Source organism: Homo sapiens, chromosome 4 (assembly GCF_000001405.40).
Source record: "Homo sapiens chromosome 4, GRCh38.p14 Primary Assembly".
NCBI classification, from domain to species: domain Eukaryota; kingdom Metazoa; phylum Chordata; class Mammalia; order Primates; family Hominidae; genus Homo; species Homo sapiens.
In genome coordinates this window covers 163,972,293-163,993,738 of record NC_000004.12, presented here as the reverse complement: position 1 = coordinate 163,993,738, position 21,446 = coordinate 163,972,293, and the positions used below count along the sequence as shown (strand labels likewise).

Below are 21,446 nucleotides of genomic sequence, written 5' to 3'. Positions count from 1 at the left end.
GAGCAAAGATCAGTCCCATAGTGTTATTTGAAAGACTCAGTTTGTGATGATGTTCTTTTGTCATGAGCATAATATAAATCATATAAACTAGTATAACTGACTCTTCAGGGCATGCTGTAATTATCACACATATTATGTGATTGTGGTGACTGCTATTGATTCTCCAACAGACTGAAATGAATGTCTTGGCTATGTTGTAATCTGCTCAACTTCAGAAAATATATGTGGCCAAAATTAGGAAAAATAATTTCAAGACAATAGAATCAAAGATCTTAAGAATTCATCTGATCCATTATACTGTATTTGGTATTGAAGGCTGATCATTCAGTCGCTTCTGAAAGGTCTTCAGAGACAGAATACTTACATTAAAAAGATGTTGTAATTACACAAGATACTTGCACATACTAAGTGTAGTCACAATTGGATTCCAATAATCAGACAAAACCCATAAACATACAAGCATTTTAGAAATGCTTTATTACATTGTAGATTTTTTTATAAACACATAACCAGAAATGTTAATTATTTTTCCGTTTTATACTCCCTCTCATTATTTCCACTAAGCTTGTTTTGCTAGCATGGGTTGTTCCCTAACTCTCCAATTAATACATAAGTGTATGCTTCATAATTTCCCCAGTAACAATACCTTTAAATTCAAGTTCCTTCTCCGTCTCCTTTACAAGATAACATAAATTCTTTGTGCCATGATAACTTATCCATATGTTCTTCCCAGTAATCTTTGACGGTGGCCATTTGACACTCTTTGCAATGACACTTTGAAAACCCATTCAATCCAGGTTTCCTCCCTTTCACCAGGGATTTGTAGTGAAATATTCTTTTTCCAACTCAGTGTACCTTGTTTCTATTTTCAGAAATAACTTAAGGTTCTTATCTTTATTACTTCTCTGTCTTGTATCAATGCATTTATAATTTTATAAATATAAATATAAAATATAATTTTATATTTTATAAGTAATGTAATTTTATATTTTATAATTAATAAAATTTTATATTGCTCATAGGATTTTTCTTTCTGCCAGGTCTGGGGTCTGGTTTCCTTCCTCTCTCCTTTCAAGTGGTGATCCTAATAACTATATATGGCCTAAACCAATTAATAATCTTAAACAAATTTTCTATGTTATTTAAAATAGCATCCTGAACTCTCATATGCCAATCTCACACCATCTCTACGCCTTGAAATGATTTAATCACCTTATGTCTACCAAGCACAATAGAGGCCTCAATTCGTCCTTAAGACTTTCTTTATGTATTTAGATCTAATATTATTTATTGTTGCTCAAAGCTTCTTTGATATTTACTTTCATTATTCTATATTGTCTTTCAGATATTAATTGCCATATGCCACATATTTTTTCAATTGACTTACCTCCTTAAATCTTATTTCCCTAATGATACAACGAACTCTTTGATTACAGATATTATGCCACATAATTTTATACATTACCTGCTGCCCATTAATTCCTAGCATGGTTCAGAAAACACAGAAGATGCTTAACAAATGTTTATCGAATTGAATTTTCAGTCTATCCATTTAATGTGTTAGCAGATGTTTACTTGGTTCCTTGTCTTGGCCCAACACTGGGTTTCCTTTCTTGATTAATTGCGATCAAAATAAATGCTTTGGAGGCCTTTTTTTTTTTTTTTTTTTTTTTTTTTGCAGCTGACAAAGATCAAGCTGGTCTTATGCTACCAGAGATGCATATTTTTCTTTGTTTACCTTTTAAACTAGAGACAACCTAGGCCACTGAGAATAAGGAACAGCACCAAATCAGAATCTCTTGGGGGAAAACTGAGGTCTGAGTATTAGAGTTAATATGTAAAAATGCCAAATTTTGGAGCCAGAGGTGGGAATGAGGAACCTGTCCCCAGAGCCGAGGGCTGGAAGCCAGAATGTAGAAGCAAAACAAATACAATTTAGACATGTATATGGAAAAAGTAGTCAGTGAAGAGTGAATGTTCCAGGATGATTTCAACAGTAATTATAGTCCATAGTTTCCACAAAAATCAAGTTTAAAAATCTGGATCACATAATGTGATCACATATGTAGATGCAGCTGAGCTGAATGATTCCTGTATCCACGATTATTCTGGCCAGTGTCTGTCAGTGCTCAGTTGCTGGGTCCATTGCTCCTTGTGACTCCACAGGGTTTAATTACTATACAAGATGAACTATGCTCCCATAGGAGAAATGCATTCCACAACAATTTTCTTAGTTTGAGTTTGTTACATAATGAGTCACCCCAGAGACTTCTGATTGTTTCTAGTTGGCAGAGCACTATGGAAGCTGCTTGAGGAAAGGTATTAGGTAAGTGCAAGACATTGATATTAGCTGATGTGTATTCAGTGTTCCAAGGCAGCGAAGTATTAGAATGTACAAAGTATTAAAAGCATGTTTTTCCCCTGATACAGTTGGAAAATTTTAAAAGTTCAATTTGTGGCAATACCTAATACAATGTTAGATAAATATTTATTAAACAGACTGATTATTAATTTTTCTTAAGTTATTGCTAAAACATTTGCTTAAAAAGATATAACAAACCTCTTCTTGTTTACCATGTAAAATACTCTAAGAAATAAATTCACTTTTCCAGAAATTCAATTTATATTTTAAATGTTAGGATAAAAGAAAGCTAATTGAAATAACTCAACCACATAAATCAAATTAACTCAAAATTAAAATCTGATTTCTGAAAAATCTCATAGCAAACAAAGGATAACCTCATATGCATAATGAGGTAAAGGATTAAGACAGCCATTTAGTTAATTCAAGCTAAAAATCTTCTTTCCTATAACTTTAATGAATATTTTAAGCAAAACTACTGAAGTCTGAATTTATCTGGAAAGCTGCCTTGGCTTTTCAGAGGACATTTCATGGACCTAAACACTGACAATATTACTTTTCTAAAGAGTTTCATAATTTACATTTTAGTATTTGTCACACACTGTTAGATTTACAGACTTCTATTTCCAGCATTCTCTTAATTAAGACAGTCCTTCTAGATAGAGGGATTAAAAATTATTAAATTAAGGAACTTCTCACACAGGCCACAGATGTGAACATTAAGCTACAGAAAATTTAAGAATTATTAGTTTTAACTGTAGACATGGCATTTTTGGCAAAGGCTGGCTTTTTAGTCCTTTCATTAAAGCTCCTGTATGTCACAAATACATTCTGTAAGCTTAAGTATGATGATGAATAAATGCCAGGTTTGAGGCACCTATTTTTTAAAACTATTTTAAGCAAGAGATTTGTCTCTATATGAACTTTAATGAGCTTATTGTGCTGAGGTTATTTTCGTGATGCACTGGAATGGTTCTCAAAATTGGTTTGTATCAGAAACATCTGTAATTTTTTTTTTTAACTGTCCAGTTCAGAACTGTACCCTTCTTGTCTCCACTGCAGCCCTCCTGAAAATGTGTCTGTTAGGGATCTATGCATTATAAAATCTCCCTAGCTGATCTTGATGGATGGTAGGGGTTAGAACCATGGGCAGGTGGCTAATTTAGGTTGAAATGAAAACATATTTGGACCAAAGTTGTAAATACATTGAAATGTTTATTTCAGTGTGAATATTTAAATTGAAGATGTTAATTCAGTCTTTACATATATTGTTTTTGGCTTTATTGCCAACAGCAGTACAGATCTTTTTTCACATTTTATCTCTATCCTGAGTTTAAACAAATTGTAATGTCATAATGGAAATGATATTATTGCTGTATAATACAAAGACAGGTAGAGATGAATTGCAACTAGAAATCACTTTGAAGATCTCTGTGATTAGGGAAAAATTCTAACTTATAAGCAGTACTTGAGTATATAAAAACGAGGAACTTTCTGAATTATGCTTCATTTGGGGTGAACAAACACAAAAAACAGTGGGAGATCTGATCTATTCACAATATGCAGAAAATATACAATGTACATCTCAAAATGAGAAAAGAAAATTCTGTCCTTTTAAAGACAGAGTGCCAAACACCCTGAAAAAGAGGGAATAATCATGCGGGAAAGTTATTTTTACAAAGTTAATGTAATTTAAGAATTTACTTCACTGAGAGAGTAGGATGTTTTAAAAGGAATTTTTTTTAAATTTAAAAAGCAGAAGTTCTGATTAACCATTTACTTCTTCCAAATTGTATAACTTTTGAGAGGACAGTAATAGTAAAGTCTGTTTCCTTTATGGAAAAGCAAGGAGAAGCTGCTAGTAATTCAAACATATATTTCGGGGAGCACAGAAGTTGCAATAAAGCTGAAATGAGTAGTATAGAGCTCTATGCTTCAGACTAACTGATGCCTTCTGACTCCTGTTGCTGATGTTTTAGTAAGAAAGGTGCACTGAATGGTTAACTCTCTTTACAACCATCCAGAAAAAGACATCTGCAATTGCTCCAGGTCTCTCTTCTTTTCTCTCTCTCTCTCTCTCTCTCTCTCTCAACACCTCATTCGATCTCATGCGATGCTCTTCACTTCAGGGCAGATCCTTTGACCTAAGCAGATTATTGTAGATGCATGAAGGACACAGCCAGCTAGCCGCGCTTCTCAAGGAAGAGATTTGGCTCCAAATAGGACACTAAGCTTTTCAGCCGTCTGCTTATTTACGTAGTCAGCAAGATGCAGTGTCTCTGGGTGCTTAGTGGACTCCTGGGGAATCAGGATAAACAAAAACAAAGCGGCAGCCGCTGCAAATGTGGGAGTCTGTGCCATTAAAGGAAGCAGTTGCTAATAAGGGCCTGTGAGACCTAGGTTTCCTTGGTTTCCATGACAGTTATTAGGTACCATAGAAATTGAATTGTCTCCCACAATGCTCTTAGGGGAGAGGGGGTGCTCCAGTGACAAAGCAGTTCAATTATGACTTGCAGTAAATCATCCTTTGGAGAATGCAGTACTCCCTGGATTATTTGTTCTTGCATTTCTTTTAACTCCCCTTTCAATGTGTTTAACATTTTGACCAGAAGACTCTGGCCTCTGCTGCACAGTGTCTCAAACACTATTTTTCCCCTCTTTGTTTAGACCTGAGCTTGGCAAAGCAAGGATATGAACAATTGTGCAGGTGGGCTACTCAGGGCGAGTGAAGAGATAAGGCATCCAATCAGGGATTGGCCACCTGCAGCCCTGCCAATATGCCCCTCCACCAGATTTCCGTAATCCCAGCACGGGAGACTGCCAGCAATGGGAGAAATTCAATGGGCAGAAACAAAGAGAAGAACAAGGAAGTCGAGGTAAGAGGAGGTTTAATTTAATAAAATCAGAGAGCCAAGCCACTGTTGCCAACACTGCTCTCTGCACCGTGGGACATGGCAAGGGCTTCAGAGCAGCTGGATCCCAGCTGTCAGTGTGTAACAGTAGATTGGAAGAGAATTACTTATAACTGGCAGGGACATATTAAACTTCACCTCTATTTTGTGAATGAAGAGAGGAGCCAGATCCATAGGGACACTTCCTACTTGACAGATGGAAACTTTTGCCTCTTTTTCTAAACAATCTATGGAGTCACTTTTGACTTTTATGGCTTGTGGGTTACAACCGGCTGTTTTGGGTTGGCTCTGGACATTGCTGTGGTACATTTTCACATAGTGGAACTGGTGATGCTGGCTGGTTTTCCTCACTGCCCATTAAACTAGGATATTTGAATATAACTGTCTTAACAAAGGGACAGAGAAGCCAGTTATGACACTGAATACATAACATGAGTTAGAGCCTCATAAGATCTATTTGCACTTCATTCGTTGGCAGTGCATGGTTGTGTATGACTGTTGTTTGATATCTGTACATTTATATTTTGTTCCTCATGACAAAAAGCTTTCTTTGAAACTTCACACAGGTTATAATTTTCAACTTCTTACGGTGAGCCTTTATTTTGCAGGGAAATTTAGTGGCAGTTGTTCTAAGTTAAACTGCTTGAAAGATCATATGCTGGAAACTTATTTCAAAGGTTTTTAAGAAAGGGATTGAACTCAACACAGTCAAGGATATTGAGTGGAAATATCATAAATGTTGTCGTGTTCCCCTAAAAGGGAGCTTGAGATAGAATGCCGGAAACTGTAATCTTCTTGTCTCTTTAACATAACTATTTTCTAGTCCTCAGGTGTCCTTAGCTTTGTAGGAGATGGGCTTTGTCTACCTCCAGTTCTACATGTTAACCTTTTTTTTCCCTCAAGAATAGCTGCTGGAGACAGAGGGAGCAGCAGACAAAAAATAAAGCAAATAAAATAAAGGAAATGGGAGTGTAGTGTCAAGGAGTGTTTGAAAGGAAAAGACTAATAAATTTGAGTACATCTTCAAATGAGAAAATATATTTGCAGCCTCTTTCTACTTTATTTGAACTGATTTTGAAAATGTCATTGAATGGCAATGAGTTCTTGATGTGGCTAGAATTTGTAGATAACTTTGGGAGATTTCTCTAAGTTAGTGCAAGAGATACTTTTACATTAGTAATTGCCTCATCATAAACACATCAAATATTTCTGGAATTTCTGAGAATTAAAAATCTTTGTAAAGAAACTTCAGCAGCCCAGAATGCTCAGGCACATTCTCTAGAGTGTCTGTTTCCTTTGACTTGGAAATGCGATTATTAGAATATGAAACAGGTTTCTCTTAAGTTTGTTGGTGTTAGGTGGGGAAGGTGGGGTACACTGATCAATTCTGCAAATAGGTATAGAAATGCCAAAAGCAAGATTCATAAAAGTTATACATTGCTTACTCACAGTATAAATTTCTGGATAAATTTAAGATAATGTTGAAGAAAACTTTATGTGAACATATTGGGTGGCAAATTTGTTTGGTATCTGGAATGATCAGCATCTGAGTAATATTTGGAAAAGAAAACAACATTGTGTCAATTCCAGGTCTTCGCCAGAAATCTCTTTCTGTAGATGTCTACTTGGCCTGAATTAGATAAATTGAGATGGCTTATATAATTTTTAAGAGCAAACAAATGTTTTTTATTCATGTTAGAAATAATAATGAAATTATTCTTTGTTAAGTAAAATTAGCCACAATTGTTATCAAGATATGGGTATTAATCCACATCTTTAAACATCTTCACAAATATCTTGAATTATTAAAACATGTATAGCTTTGTTTCTTTCAGGGTCAAAAAACACTCTAATGTGTCACAATGGGAGTTAGTGGGCACTCTTAAAGAAAGAAGAAGTTGGCCGGGTGCCGTGGCTCACGCCTGTAATCCCAGCACTTTGGGAGGCCGAGGCGGGCGGATCACAAGGTCAGGAGATCGAGACCATCCTGGTCTAACTCGGTGAAACCCTGTCTCTACTAAAAATACAGAAAATTAGCCGGGTGTGGTGGTGGGCACCTGTGGTCCCAGCTACTCAGGAGGCTGAGGCAGGAGAATGGCGTGAACCCGGGAGGCGGAGCTTGCAGTGAGCCGAGATCGCGCCACTGCACTCCAGCCTGGGCGACAGAGCGAGACACTCCATCTCAAAAAAAAAAAAAAAAAAAAAAAAAAAAAAAGAAGAGGTTAATTAGGAGAAAAGGAAAGGAAACTCTGAGCCTTCGTATAATTTCTAAAAAGAGATACAGTTCTGAATATCAGAAAGGGAAGCACTTATAATGTTTCAAATGCTTCTTGGTTTTCTATAGGATGTAGTTAAAAGTTTTATTTTAAAAGTATGTTTAAAACATATTAGTCAATCTTGTAGGCCGCCGAATAACTTGTTTTGATAAGCTAACTAAATAGTCTAAAAGAATTGTAAATGCCTTTAAAGTGGATAAATTAAACAGCATACATCTGTGTTTTGGACAGCAAGAAGAATCAATGATTTCTGTAATTTCAAGTGGCGATGCTTTCTAAAGAAAAGTAAAACATCTTGTACATATATGGACATTTCCTGATGAGCAAATGAGAAACATCCTTTCTTGAAGTTTCCTTAATGTTCTTGCTTGTCCTAAAGTTATCCAAAGCATGCCTATGTGCATTAGGAAAATGATCTAATTTCAGAATTAAGAATTTAGTTGTAATTAATTTAAATTAGTAAATTAAAAACTCATTTGAATTTAATGTAATTTAACTTCATTCAAAATTTAGTGACTCTTAACTAATGTATTAACTTGATATCAGATTTCTTAAGCCATATGAAGAAAAGAATTAGAAAACTGTCAATCATAGTTAAAATACAGAAGATCCATCCTGTTAAGGATATCAAGAAAATATTTCTAAAAATTCTTTTGTTGATTTTTTAACAGCATAGATCTTTTATATTTTAAGATTTTAAAAAGTAACTCCTATCTCTAGCTTTATAATGAAAATATATTTTGACATATTTTGTATGCCATAATATTATAATCATCTCTGTTTGGTTAATAACCCTGGAAGTACAAAACACAAAATAATATATTATGTCCAGTTTGAATACAGTTGATATTAAGGGTTAGAGAAGGGATGTAGGTTTATCTTTCAGAGGCACCAACTCTGGAGATTGATTAGGCAATTAAAATGAAGTGCCTTAGACTTGCAGTCCTGGCAGAAGATGTTGTTAGCAAAACCAGTGGTTACTACAAACCACTTCACTTCTTATGAAGTGAGTAGATATTGGTCCATTATGAAGCTACAGAAAATTTAACATAATACAGTAGTCAAAATAATTAATTTACACTTGGAGACTGTATATATGTGATGGAATGTTTGAGTTTTAGCTCCAGGAGGGTTCTGGAAGGAAATTAGTAATCAGATTTTCCTTGGTAAATGGAATTGATAAAGGAAATAAAATGGTTTAGGTTCACCTACACCTTGGGAAAACCACATTCTCGGGAAAGCTTTGGGAGAAGATACCTCTTCAAAATGGTTCATAGTTCCAGATTTCTTTTTCTTTTCTGGTTGAATGTCAGAATCTGACAGTTTACCCTCTTTATATCTTATTTGCCTACTTTTCTAAATAGACCATTTGCTTCTATTAATTCATTCTTCTTTTTTAGATATGTGAACACCACTTACTATGCTGTAATTAATTCACATTCGAGATTTGGGTCTAAAAGACATCTGTCTCTTACAAGGGCAGTGAATTTTATTAATCACATTCTTAGCCCTGTAGCTGTAGCTTGAATTCCTACTCTAGATCTGGAAATTCTAATAATTGTATAAATTCCAGTATTTAGTCGACCTCTAGCACATATTCCTTATACTTCCCTGGGATTTGCAAGCAAATGTGTCTATGAGTGGTAAGTGTAGAGATACAGCATGGATGGGGCCAAGGCTGTTTCTGGCACCTGCGCTGCATGCTGCTATATTCTTTCACAACACACTGAGTCTATACCTTAGATGATGGGAGGGACTTAAGAGGGAAAAACAAAACATGAGTTATTTGCTTCTGATCCTTCTCACTCTCAAGCTGACCACACATGGCTATCATGCTTTAGAAAGATTTAGGAGGAAAACAAAAACCAAACCCCTTTGTTTATATGTACATTTTCTTTACTGCTGCCATTATTTTGTAATATTTCTCTACCTCAGTTTTTACATTTTTTTCCAAAAAGAATATTTAGTTTTTCTTCCTGAGATATCCCTTTTAAGATCTTCTACTTGCCTTTCCAATGATAGCTCATGGGCCATCTCTTGTTTTTCAAAGTAGCTGGAGATCTGTTACTGGGGAATCTCTTTTGGTAGAGATTCCAGTAACCTGGAAAAAATATGGCTTTTTGTGATATATATTTTTCCTTTTGAACATAATGGACAAGTTACTGATTTATTTATTAGTAAAATAAATTTTTAGTAATTTTTAGTAAAATTTACTAAAAAAAAATTTTTAGTAAAAATTTTTAGTAAAAAAATTAAAAAGTTAAAAAAACATATTTAGTCTCAGGGCCAGAGCTGAGATTAGTATTCAGCTACTCTGGGCTCAAGTCTTACATTTTTTCTTTACAGTTAAGACAACTTAACCTTTTCACATTACTTAAGCAAAGTTGGTAGAAACAAAGGATCCCAGAATCAGAAAGTTCCTTAAAAATTATTCATTTTAATTTACAACCCATCATTGAAGTCCATAGAGAATAAAGAGTTTGCCAATGTCACACAACTAGTTAGTGGTGAATTTGGGACAAAAATGCAGGCCATTGACTACCAGTCTACTGCTCTTTCTATTACCAGGTCATTTAGCAATCTTTTTTTCAGACACCAAATTATTATCCCCAAAGAGTAAATGTAACCCCCAAACCTGCTAACCTCTAAGTGGGGGGAGTTTTGTTTTCTTTTTGTTACAGTGTCTGCCCATGATTCATAAGATCAGATGGAATATACATTGGGTGCTATTATAAAATATGACTAGAATTCATTTTATTCAAATTCAGAAAATATGGAAAAAATAAATAATAATGGTCAAAGTAATTTAGTAGGGAGGATACTGGGACAAAATTCAGAATATTTGAAATAGAATTCTGGCTTCATCAAGGCCTCTTAATCTTGAGTAGATAACTCAGCCTTTCAAGTTTGTCTCTTTGAGAAAAAAGTACATTTTAACTAGATCTCATTTTGAAAATAAGATTTTATTTTCTTCTATTATCCCTTGAAAATGATCATGTGGCCATGCTTCACTTTGGCACACAAAGGCCGTGTTTGTCTTCAAATGCATATTTGTCTCAGGCAGGATAGGCCTGAGTAGTGAGGACTCACCTCTAATGGACATCTGTTGTGATTACTGTACGTCATCCATGTTTGCTTCTGGTAACAGTGTTCAGAGAACCAACCCTCCCCATTCTCAGTCATGTGATTTGGGATGGGCCTTCACTGGCTTAAAATAATCCGTGTATCACAATACTCTGTCTTGGTAACTGGTTCAGGAATGGATACTTGATTCCATTGAATCAATGGCACACACTGAACCTTTAAAATGGTTTTTGGGAAGAGACACCTTTTTGTCCTGAAGACTTCTGAAGTAAACTTGCTTTCTCCTAATGGGTGGCTTGTATAAGGACATGTGAGATATACTGAGGGAAAAGGTTGGAGCTTCAAAGGGACCACAGATGCTCCCAATGCTGAAGTTTACTTGGAAATAGGCAGAACATAGAGAGAGAAAAAAAATAGACTCTGGGTAATATTGTTTGGGCTAGTGGATCAGTCCTTCTTTAAAACCAATCCTTGTTAAAAACCAAACAATTTTCCAATGAAGTGATTTGATATATGTCCTTTATTGTTTAAGCTATATTTTTGGTAGAATGTTATGTCACTTACAACATTAAGGACTCAGAATGATATTTTGCCAAAGGGCAGTTGCAATAGTTTCCTGCTTTGTTACCTGTGCAGCAACTGGCTTATGAGATGGGAAATAGCTGGGATCTGGGTACAGCAATCACAAACATTAATTTTTGAATAGCCTGCGCTGAGAGCACATTTACCCAGAGCATACAGGTTAATGCTCTGTATTAACCAAATGAAATGCATTTTTAGCAGGTGTGAATCTGACACTACAGGGTGAATGCCAAGGGGTAGAAAGGCTAATTCTCTTTTTCATTTCTTCAGAAAAGCACTTTCCAACTACTCTCTTGAGTCTGAATTGAGTATTAGAGTCCCATGTGCTTAGAGTGAATTCCACTGAGTATGCTAATAGTGTGAAAATAATTTTATGTAATGAAAATCAGGAAATTTCCATATTATTATTTGCTTTCAGCAATGAAATTAGCATAATTCACATTAATTTTTCTTGTTTAAAACAGATGTTGTGGATAATTGCATTAATAAGACTGAATAACACATTTTATAGACTATTAAATGAAAACAATTAGTAATTGCCGTCACACCCTGGTCCGTATTTTTTAAATTGTGGCCTCAATTAGGCAGGTAGATTGTTGAAACTCCTCCCTGGTGTAGAACTTCAAAATTTTTGTACTATGAATTTTTACTGATTTAATGAGACTCCATGTGGTCATTGTGTTTGAAAGATTGTTGAACAAAAACTTCATGTGGAAGAGTCTTGGAGCATTGGAGGAGCAGGTGTAGCTCTGCATGTTTTATTAATCAGGATTTTTAAAACTCGCTGATTAGCCAACATTTAACTCAATTCTTTGTAGCACAAAGGGAGCACTGACAATGCCAGCATGGATTTAGAATCCCTCAATTTGAGGTACTGCTGAAGGGGGAGGATCACAGACTGACAGCATTGCTTTCCCCCCAGCTCATTCCCAGGAATATCACCCTGAGCCACTTGCAGCAGCCTTCATAACCTCCAGGTGAGGATGAGAAATGACATCTATTCGATTCTCATTCTCTTCCTTGTCTCTGCGACCCTGTTAAATAATTGAAAGAGGCATGACATGGGGGTAGAACTGGTGATAGGATTCTGCTCTTAAAGGAGTGAAAAGGAGACTGAAGAAAAGGACAAAGTGCTTCTAGGTGCTGGGTGTCTGACTTTTGGCTTTCAGCCTGTCATCTTTCACCTTGACTATCCCACTCATCAAATTGTGCAAATCTGGATAACGAAAGTGAAGCAGGCAAATGATGTGGACTTACTTTCACTCAACCAAAGGTTGCACATTTTCTGCTACAAAGCAACATGCTGCATTCTTTAGGATTTGTACTTTTGATGCCAATATGAATAAAAGGGAGTTTCTTAGGAAAAAAAAAAAACAATTCTGGCACCTGGAAACCACTGGATGCACAACGCTGCAGGAAACAGATAATGAAGCTCATGTGTGAGATACAGAGTAAAACATTTAAGTGAGGCACCAGCTATACAGTTTCACACATGGTCAGATTCTATAGTAATTATCCTTACCTGTAAACCTAAATAGGTTGATTTCTAAGCGAGCTCCATACAGTGGTCTATGCCTATGAATGCTTAGTGGCTGAAAGTTGTTATGTTTAACATGTACAGACTTAGATCTATAGCACAGTTTTACTTTCCAATTTTATTCAAAATTAATTATCAAAACTTATAAATGTTAGAAATTTGTCATTGCAAATTTTACAAACCTTTAAAAATTCCAATACAGTAATCTGTTTCATTTTAACTTAAAACTACTTTCTATATTACCATTTACTATGTGAAACTACTACTACAGTTCATTTAGCTTTTGGAAGAAGTGATTTCTGCATACACTTAGCTGATTATACAGTGAAGGATTCATCTGTGGCTGTTAGTTTTACTATCTGACTCAAGCATTCTGTTTGTGGCCCCGTGAAATTATAAGAGAACTTCATGCTTTAGAATTAAAGGGCCCCTTTTGCTGTGCAGAAGCTCTTTAGTTTAATTAGATCCCATTTGTCAATTTTGGCTTTTGTTGCCATTGCTTTTGGTGTTTTGGACATGAAGTCCTTGCCCATGCCTATGTCCTGAATGGTAATGCCTAGGTTTTCTTCTAGGGTTTTTATGGTTTTAGGTCTAACGTTTAAATCTTTAATCCATCTTGAATTGATTTTTGTATAAGGTGTAAGGAAGGGATCCAGTTTCAGCTTTCTACATATGGCTAGCCAGTTTTCCCAGCACCATTTATTAAATAGGGAATCCTTTCCCCATTTCTTGTTTTTCTCAGGTTTGTCAAAGATCAGACAGTTGTAGGTATGCGGCGTTATTTCTGAGGGCTCTGTTCTGTTCCATTGATCTATATCTCTGTTTTGGTACCAGTACCATGCTGTTTTGGTTACTGTAGCCTTGTAGTAAAGTTTGAAGTCAGGTAGTGTGATGCCTCCAGCTTTGTTCTTTTGGCTTAGGATTGACTTGGCGATGCGGGCTCTTTTTTGGTTCCATATGAACTTTAAAGTAGTTTTTTCCAATTCTGTGAAGAAAGTCATTAGTGAACAGGCAACCTACAAAATGGGAGAAAATTTTCGCAACCTACTCATCTGACAAAGGGCTAATATCCAGAATCTACAATGAACTCAACCAAATTTACAAGAAAAAAACAAACAACCCCATCAAAAAGTGGGTGAAGGACATGAACAGACACTTCTCAAAAGAAGACATTTATGCAGCCAAAAAACACATGAAAAAATGCTCATCATCACTGGCCATCAGAGAAATGCAAACCAAAATCACAATGAGATACCATCTCACACCAGTTAGAATGGCAATCATTAAAAAGTCAGGAAACAACAGGTGCTGGAGAGGATGTGGAGAAATAGGAACACTTGTACATTGTTGGTGGGACTGTAAACTAGTTCAACCATTGTGGAAGTCAGTGTGGCGATTCCTCAGGGATCTAGAACTAGAAATACCATTTGACCCAGCCATCCCATTACTGGGTATATACCCAAATGACTATAAATCATGCTGCTATAAAGACACATGCACACGTATGTTTATTGCGGCATTATTCACAATAGCAAAGACTTGGAACCAACCCAAATGTCCAACAATGATAGACTGGATTAAGAAAATGTGGCACATATACACCATGGAATACTATGCAGCCATAAAAAAATGATGAGTTCATGTCCTTTGTAGGGACATGGATGAAATTGGAAATCATCATTCTCAGTAAACTATCACAAGAACAAAAAACCAAACACCGCATATTCTCACTCATAGGTGGGAATTGAACAATGAGATCACATGGACACAGGAAGGGGAACATCACACTCTGGGGACTGTGGTGGGGTGGGGGGAGGGGGGGGGATAGCATTGGGAGATATACCTAATGCTAGATGACGAGTTAGTGGGTGCAGCGCACCAGCATGGCACATGTATATATATGTAACTAAGCTGCACAATGTGCACATGTACCCTAAAACTTAAAGTATAAAAAAAAAAAAAAAAAGAATTAAAGGGCCCCAAATCCCAGCATTTTTGGAGGCTAAGATGTGAGGATCACTTGAGGCCATGAGTTCAAGACCAGCATCGCCGGCAACATAATGATACCCTGTCTATATAAAATATTCAAAACAAAAATTATCCATGCATGGTGGAACATGCCTGCAGTCCTAGCTACTTGGGAGCTTGAGATTGGAGGCTTGCTTGAGCCAGGAGTTGGAGGCTGCAGTGAGCCACTGTACTCCAGCCTGGGTGACAGAGAGGGATCTTGTCTCTAAGAATAAAACAAAAACAACAACAACAACAAAAGAGAAGTAAAAAATACAACAAAAAATCCCCAGGAATCACTTATATGTTATATGACTATTTCAATTGGCAACAGAGTAAGGTGGTTAAAAGCATGTATCTGGAAGAAGACTGACTGGGTTCAAATTTGGGCTATGATGCTTTGCAGCTGTGGAAACTCAGGTTACTTTCCATCTCTGTGCCTCAGTTTCCTCATATATAAAATAATGACAAGTATGAGAACTACCTCATAAAGTTATGAGACTTCAAATGAGTTAATATCTCCAAGGTTCTAAGATTTACTCGGATAAAATAAACACCATTAAGTGCTTGATAAACAAAAGTGCTAAAGGAGTCAATTCCCTATGTTGACTGTATTTTTCCTCAACATATTTTATTATTCTCAGTGAATATGGCTCATTAATTAATACCTTCTATTGTGATGAGAAAATATTTAAGGTTGCATGACTCCATAGATTGTGCCATTTATAGTAATGATGATAAAATTAATGATAATAAAAAGACTAAAACATTGGTATTTGAAGTTTGCCAATGGCCTGACCTCTACTTAAACAGACCATGTTTGTTTGCCTTAGATAAGTGAAATCTAACCTTATGGCTTTTCTTTGCTGATTTGGTGTCAATCTCAGAATTGCTGAGCAACGAATTTTCTGGAATCAAGAATTTATAGCGAAATACATGCTAACCTTTATGCTAATTTTTTCAACATTTCATGGGCTTTTGAATATTTTAAATATTTGTTATTTTGGTAACTATTTTTACTTGTTCACTTTTATGGTAGTAATGCTCCTGATTGCCTTTTATTTTACTGGTTGTTAGGTTTTATAAAGAACAGCCCATGCTATGAAAAGCTAAAATAATTAATAATAATGAATGAAAAAGTTCGTTGAAAGTTTATATTTATAGGATTATTTTGTGAATATCTGAGTGCTTAGAGAAATGGTAACTTTTTTCATTTTTCTAAATCACATCAAAACTTCTCTTAAAATAGCATTATGCTGAAAAGCACTTAAAATGTTCTTCAACTGCACAATGATGACTTCATTAAATTGTTGTACTAACAACATTTATCTGAGGTCTTGACCTGATTCATTTCTACATGAATTGTTCTGTGAAGTTTTTTTTTGTTTTGATAATCTTTGGAAATATCAATGTTTGTAACATCCACAAAATGACTTTTGGAGAATAGAAATGGCCTAAGAAAAAGCCTCTTAACTGAATTTGAATTAGGATAACAAAATATTATCATTGAGGGGCTTATGTATATGGACTGGTTAACACTTAGGTGATGGCTAAGAGGAAACAGTCACTGTCCCTTTGTTTGATGTCAACAAGGGAGGTGGTCATTTCCCCCCAGGTGCCTTAAGCTGTGGAAATCCTGGTTATAACAGTCCTGAATGTAGCTACTGATCAGGTTTTCTTCTCTTCTTGAATTTATGCTTATACATTCTTGGCAAACAGCATTTACAGATAATTTTCCTGACTGACTTGGTAAACTAATGCATTATGACAGTAAAAAGTGGCTTTTCTCTAATCCTGACACTAATATTAATAACAATTATTATATATTTTATATATTTATAATAATCACTATTGTTCTAGCTAATAATTATTGAACACATGATGTATGTGTTGACTTAGCACTGTTTTATATACTTTTCATCATAACTCACAACTTTTCTATGAAATGGTATTTCAGTTGCTATTTCTGTGTAATAAATTGCCCCAAAACTTAATGACTTAACAGAACTATTTTTTAACGCCCATGAATTCAGTGGGTCAGAAATTTGAACAGTGCACAGTGTGATGCTTAACTGTGTTTGGCTATAATTCCAAGTCTGTTACTCTACGGTGACTGGTGACTGAAATGCACTGCATAGAAATCTGAAACCTCATTGACTCAGATGTCAGACACGTGATTTGAGATGTTTAGAAGAATAAGACTGCCAACCAGAAAACATCCATGTGACCTACTCCCGTGATTTTGCTTCTTCACATCATGGCACTTTAGAGAAGTCAGGCTTCTAACATGGGACTCATTGTTCTAAATGTGAGTTTTACAGCAAACAAATCAGAAGTTGCAATGCGTTTTGATAACCTAGCCTCAGAAATCACCAGACGTCATTGAGGCAGTAGCCTATTGGTTAAAACAATTGCTCCCATAACTACCCAGATGCAAAGGGAGTGGATATAGATTCCACTTTTTGATGGAAGTTGGGTCAAATAATTTTAGGCCCTTGCTTTAAAATCACCATAGTTTGCCTTGTGGCCACAGTTATTTATATTTCTTCTTTTGTATTCTAGGGTACAAAATACTATTTTATCCTTCGCCAAGACCTCTAAAGTATCACCTCATTTTGTCATCAAACACAAGTCTAGGACCTTTATGTCTAAATTTTCCAGCTGCAGATAAGTTTTCTTGGGTACAGTTCTAGTATAATTGCTTTCAATCTGATGACCTCTAAAATAAAGAGACAAGTTATTTGTCCTCTACACACTTGCCCCGTTAGATGACCACCATAGCTTCTCCTGTTCAAAAAGAAGGAAAAATTAGAGACATACAGCAGTTACATGTCCATAGCAATTCTGAAATCCACCTGGGCACTTGTTGCTAGTTCTTCAACTAGGATCTACTTTTATTTCCCCCAAACAGTTTTCTGACATTCTTGGTTCCACTGTTTAATGTTTTATTTTTTTAAATAAGATATGGCTTGCATTTCAAATAAGATGCCCTCTTAATATTGCTTTGTGCTCAAACTGGTGGCAAGTCCAAAGGTGTCTTTCATTTTGTACTGACTCTATCCAATCCAAGTTGACCAATATTTTTAAACATTGTATGGGCTTCCTGTGTATCAACTTATAATCCAGTTTGTTAGAAAAAAGTAATACCCAAAGTCTCTTTGAGATAAACTCTTTTCTATTTTGGCCTCTTGTGAGGCTGCTGGACCTAAGGCCCTTATGATTCTCAGAATCCATATTGTTCAATAGAGGAGGCCAATCAGAGATGCTCTTAAGATCCTTACAAGGCTTTGTTTCTTTGAAAGGGTTTATAAGGCATCACTTCCAATCTTTCTAAGCTTTTACTGAAGGGCCATAAAGCCAATCCCTTGATTTCATCTTAATCCTGGGATGTTTACCTGAAAAGAACTGTGATTTAATATTTGACTTGCGGCATTTTTTCTAATTTGAGGTTATTCTGCTGGTAACAACTGAGGAAGGTAAACACTTCTACTTTTAAACCCAGCAAGTCCAGGCTGCCTTATAGTTTATCTAAATTTTGGTTGAAAACTGAAATTTTCTTTCAGTTTGTCTCTCCAGTTGTATCTTATATGCAGCCCAGAAATCCAATTAGCTATTTTGTCCATCACAAGTGAGAGTGTTCTAAACTTTCTCCTATTAACAATGCTCACTCTTTGTTAAGCCTTTGATAATAATTTCTTCTCAAAGTCTGCATTAGTCAGAGTTGTCAAGAAAAACAGAAACAATAGGAAGTGTGTGTGTGTGTGTGTGTGTGTGTGTGTGTGAGAGAGAGAGAGAGAGAGAGAGAGAGAGAGAGCTTTATTATGAGAAATTGGCTTATGTAATTATGGAGGCTGAGAAGTCCCAAGATTGGCAAGCTGGAGAACAAGGAAAGTTGATGGTATGAGTTCATTCCAAAAGCTGGCAAGACTGAGACTCAAGAAGAGCCAGTTTTCTAGTTTTAATCTAAAGGCATAAAAAATCCTATGTCCCAGATTAAGTAGTCAGGCAGGAGGAATTCTTGCTTAGCCTTTTATTTTTAAATTCAGGACTTCAATTAATTGGATGAGGGCCACTCATATTAGTGAAGTGAATTTGCTTTACTCAGTTTACCCATTTAATTGTTAATCTCATTTAGAAACTTCCTCACAGACACACCCAGAATAACTCTGGCCAAATGTCTGGGTACCCAGTGACTCAGTCAAATTGACACATAAACACCGTCACCAGGTCTTTCTGGCTTCCGACTGATACCTGCTCTCAAAGCCAGGGCAGATGTTTTGGGTTTTTATGATAGCACTTTTTCAGGTACCATATATCTATTATAATTTCTTTTACTATATAACAAATGACTTTAAAACTGAGTAGCTTAAAACAAATACTCCTATGCTTATGAATTCTGTGCATTAGAAATTCAAACAGGATATAGCAGGTATGGTTTTTCACTATTCCATGATTCCTGGGCTTCAGCTGGAAAGATTCAAAGGTTGGAGAGTAACTCAACAGTTGGAATCATCTGGTCTGTTCACCTGCATTTCTGGTATGTGGGTTACAAAGAGTCTAAGAGTAGGACTGCCAACTGAAACACCCACACATAGCTGTTTGTGTCATTGGCTTCCTTACAGCATGGTGATCTCAGAATAGTCCAATTTCTTAATGGAAGCTTAGCATTTCAAGAGTGAGTGCTTCACCAATCAAGGCTAACCTGTATCACCTTTTATGACCAAGTCTTGGAAGTCATGCAGTCTTATTTCCACCATCCTCTATTGATTGAAACAGTTACAAGCTCACCCTATTCAAAATTAGGGGTCACAGACCCTACCTTTTAAAGGGAGTGATGTCAAATGATTTGGGAGCCATGTCTAAAACAACCACACATAGGTACTCTCATTATCTTCATTTTACAACTCAGGAATTTAGGGCACAGAAAGTGTGGTGCTTTCTCCAACAACACACATTTAATAAGAAGCAAAGCCAGGATGTAAACTCAGGCAGTGTGATTCCAGAGGCCATATTCAAAAATTACTGTATTACCTTATTTTTTCCTACTGTGCTATACAGAGGTGTGTTTTAGCATCCTAGTCCTTGAAGAGGAAAATTCACTTCATTAAATTAGTTATTTAATCAACAAACATTTCTGCCAACCAGAGCCAAGCACTGGGCTGGCTACTCAGAATATGTTGGTGAACAAGAGGGACATGACTTTGTCTTTTTCTTAGTGCAGCATAAAATCTAGTTTATCATTACCTTTCTCAGAACTCTGGTGTCATTTCTTGCAATATTTCTTCCATTTTTTAGTATTAAGATTGACTTTTGCCTTGGATTTATTCTATGTGGCTATGGTGTGTTAATTACTGTAACAACCCGTATTTGTTTTCATCTCCCTGTATTGAAGTCCTTTGGTAGTGCCCTCCAACGCCGTTTCCGGGCATGGCTATGTGACTTGCTTTGGCCAATGGGAAGAGTTAAAAAATAATGCAAGCTGAGCCTTGAAAAATACTTGTGAATTAGCATTTGCCCTTTTGCTTTTCTTGAAAATTGGATAAAGCCAGAGTAGCTTTTGGATAATGAGGGACATGTAGCCCAACCATTTCTGTTGCTCCCAGCTAACAGCCAGTCACCAGACAGTTGAGCAAGGCTAAGAACAACCAGCTCCCAGCTGATGGCAGTTATATGAACAAGTCTAGCTGAGATTATTTGAGGCTGATGTAAATAACCCAAAAGTATCATGAGCTAAATAAAATGCAAGTTGTTGAAAGTTACTATGTTTGTTATACAGCAACAGAAATCTGTTACAGTGGTCTTTAAAATATATGCTCCTGTCCTCTGTTATAGAGTGTGACTTTATACTTGGTAAATTTGTACAGCTGGTTCTGATAGTCTTTGAAGAAGTTAAATTCAGATTTTATGCTTGCAACACTATGTTTTTTGAAAGGATGTGACAATCTATTTTAATACCACATTTACATATAGAAATCATCTTTGACATTGCTAGACTGATTAATTTCAGTGCTAAATTAACTTTACAACCATAACAATTACACTGTTAGTAACTAATTCTTATTCTTCTAAATTGAGCCCCTTAGATTTCTATAACTAATAGAGCTTTTAAACATATACATTAAGGCCGGGCGCGGTGGCTCACGCCTGTAATCCCAGCACTTTGGGAGGCCGAGGCAGGTGGATCACGAGGTCAGGAGATGGAGACTATCCTGGCTAACACAGTGAAAACCCGTCTCTACTAAAAATACAAAAAAAAAAAAAAAAATTAGCCGGCCATGGTGGCGGGCGCCTGTAGTCCAAGCTACTCAGGAGGCTGAGGCAGGAGAATGGCGTGAACCCAGGAGGTGGAGCTTGCAGTGAGCTGAGATCGCGCCACTGCACTCCAGCCTGGGCGGCTGAGCAAGACTCCATCTCAAAAAAACAACAAAACAAAACAAAAACATATACATTAAGACTTTTTATAACAAATATACCTTGCATATAAATAAATATAGTACTTAATAGTGCATTGTACTTGAACTTTTTAAACTTGAACAATTTCTAATACAAACTGTAAAATCCTTTTGGCAGCATTCTTTCCCTTGTCTAATTCATATTTCACTGTTTTGATCAATTTTTAAAAAAATTTTTTATTATACTTTAAGTTCTGGGATACATGTGCAGAACGTGCAGGTTTGTTACATAGG

General features: G+C 36.0%; 1 protein-coding gene across 5 annotated transcripts in view; it reads left to right on the top strand.

Annotated features, from left to right (window-relative positions):
* MARCHF1 (membrane associated ring-CH-type finger 1) overlaps positions 1-21,446 on the top strand; it is an 859,722-nt gene that overhangs the window by 390,281 nt on the left and 447,995 nt on the right. For 4 of the 5 annotated variants that reach the window (XM_017008336.2, XM_017008335.2, XM_047415869.1 and 1 more), the window contains exon 3: positions 5,030-5,238. The exons of the other annotated variant lie outside the window; for it this stretch is intronic. In XM_017008336.2, coding sequence (XP_016863825.1) covers positions 5,140-5,238 — 99 coding nt within the window. In that variant the 5' untranslated portion in view covers positions 5,030-5,139. The remainder of the gene's footprint in view (positions 1-5,029; positions 5,239-21,446) is intronic. 5 annotated transcript variants of the gene reach the window in all.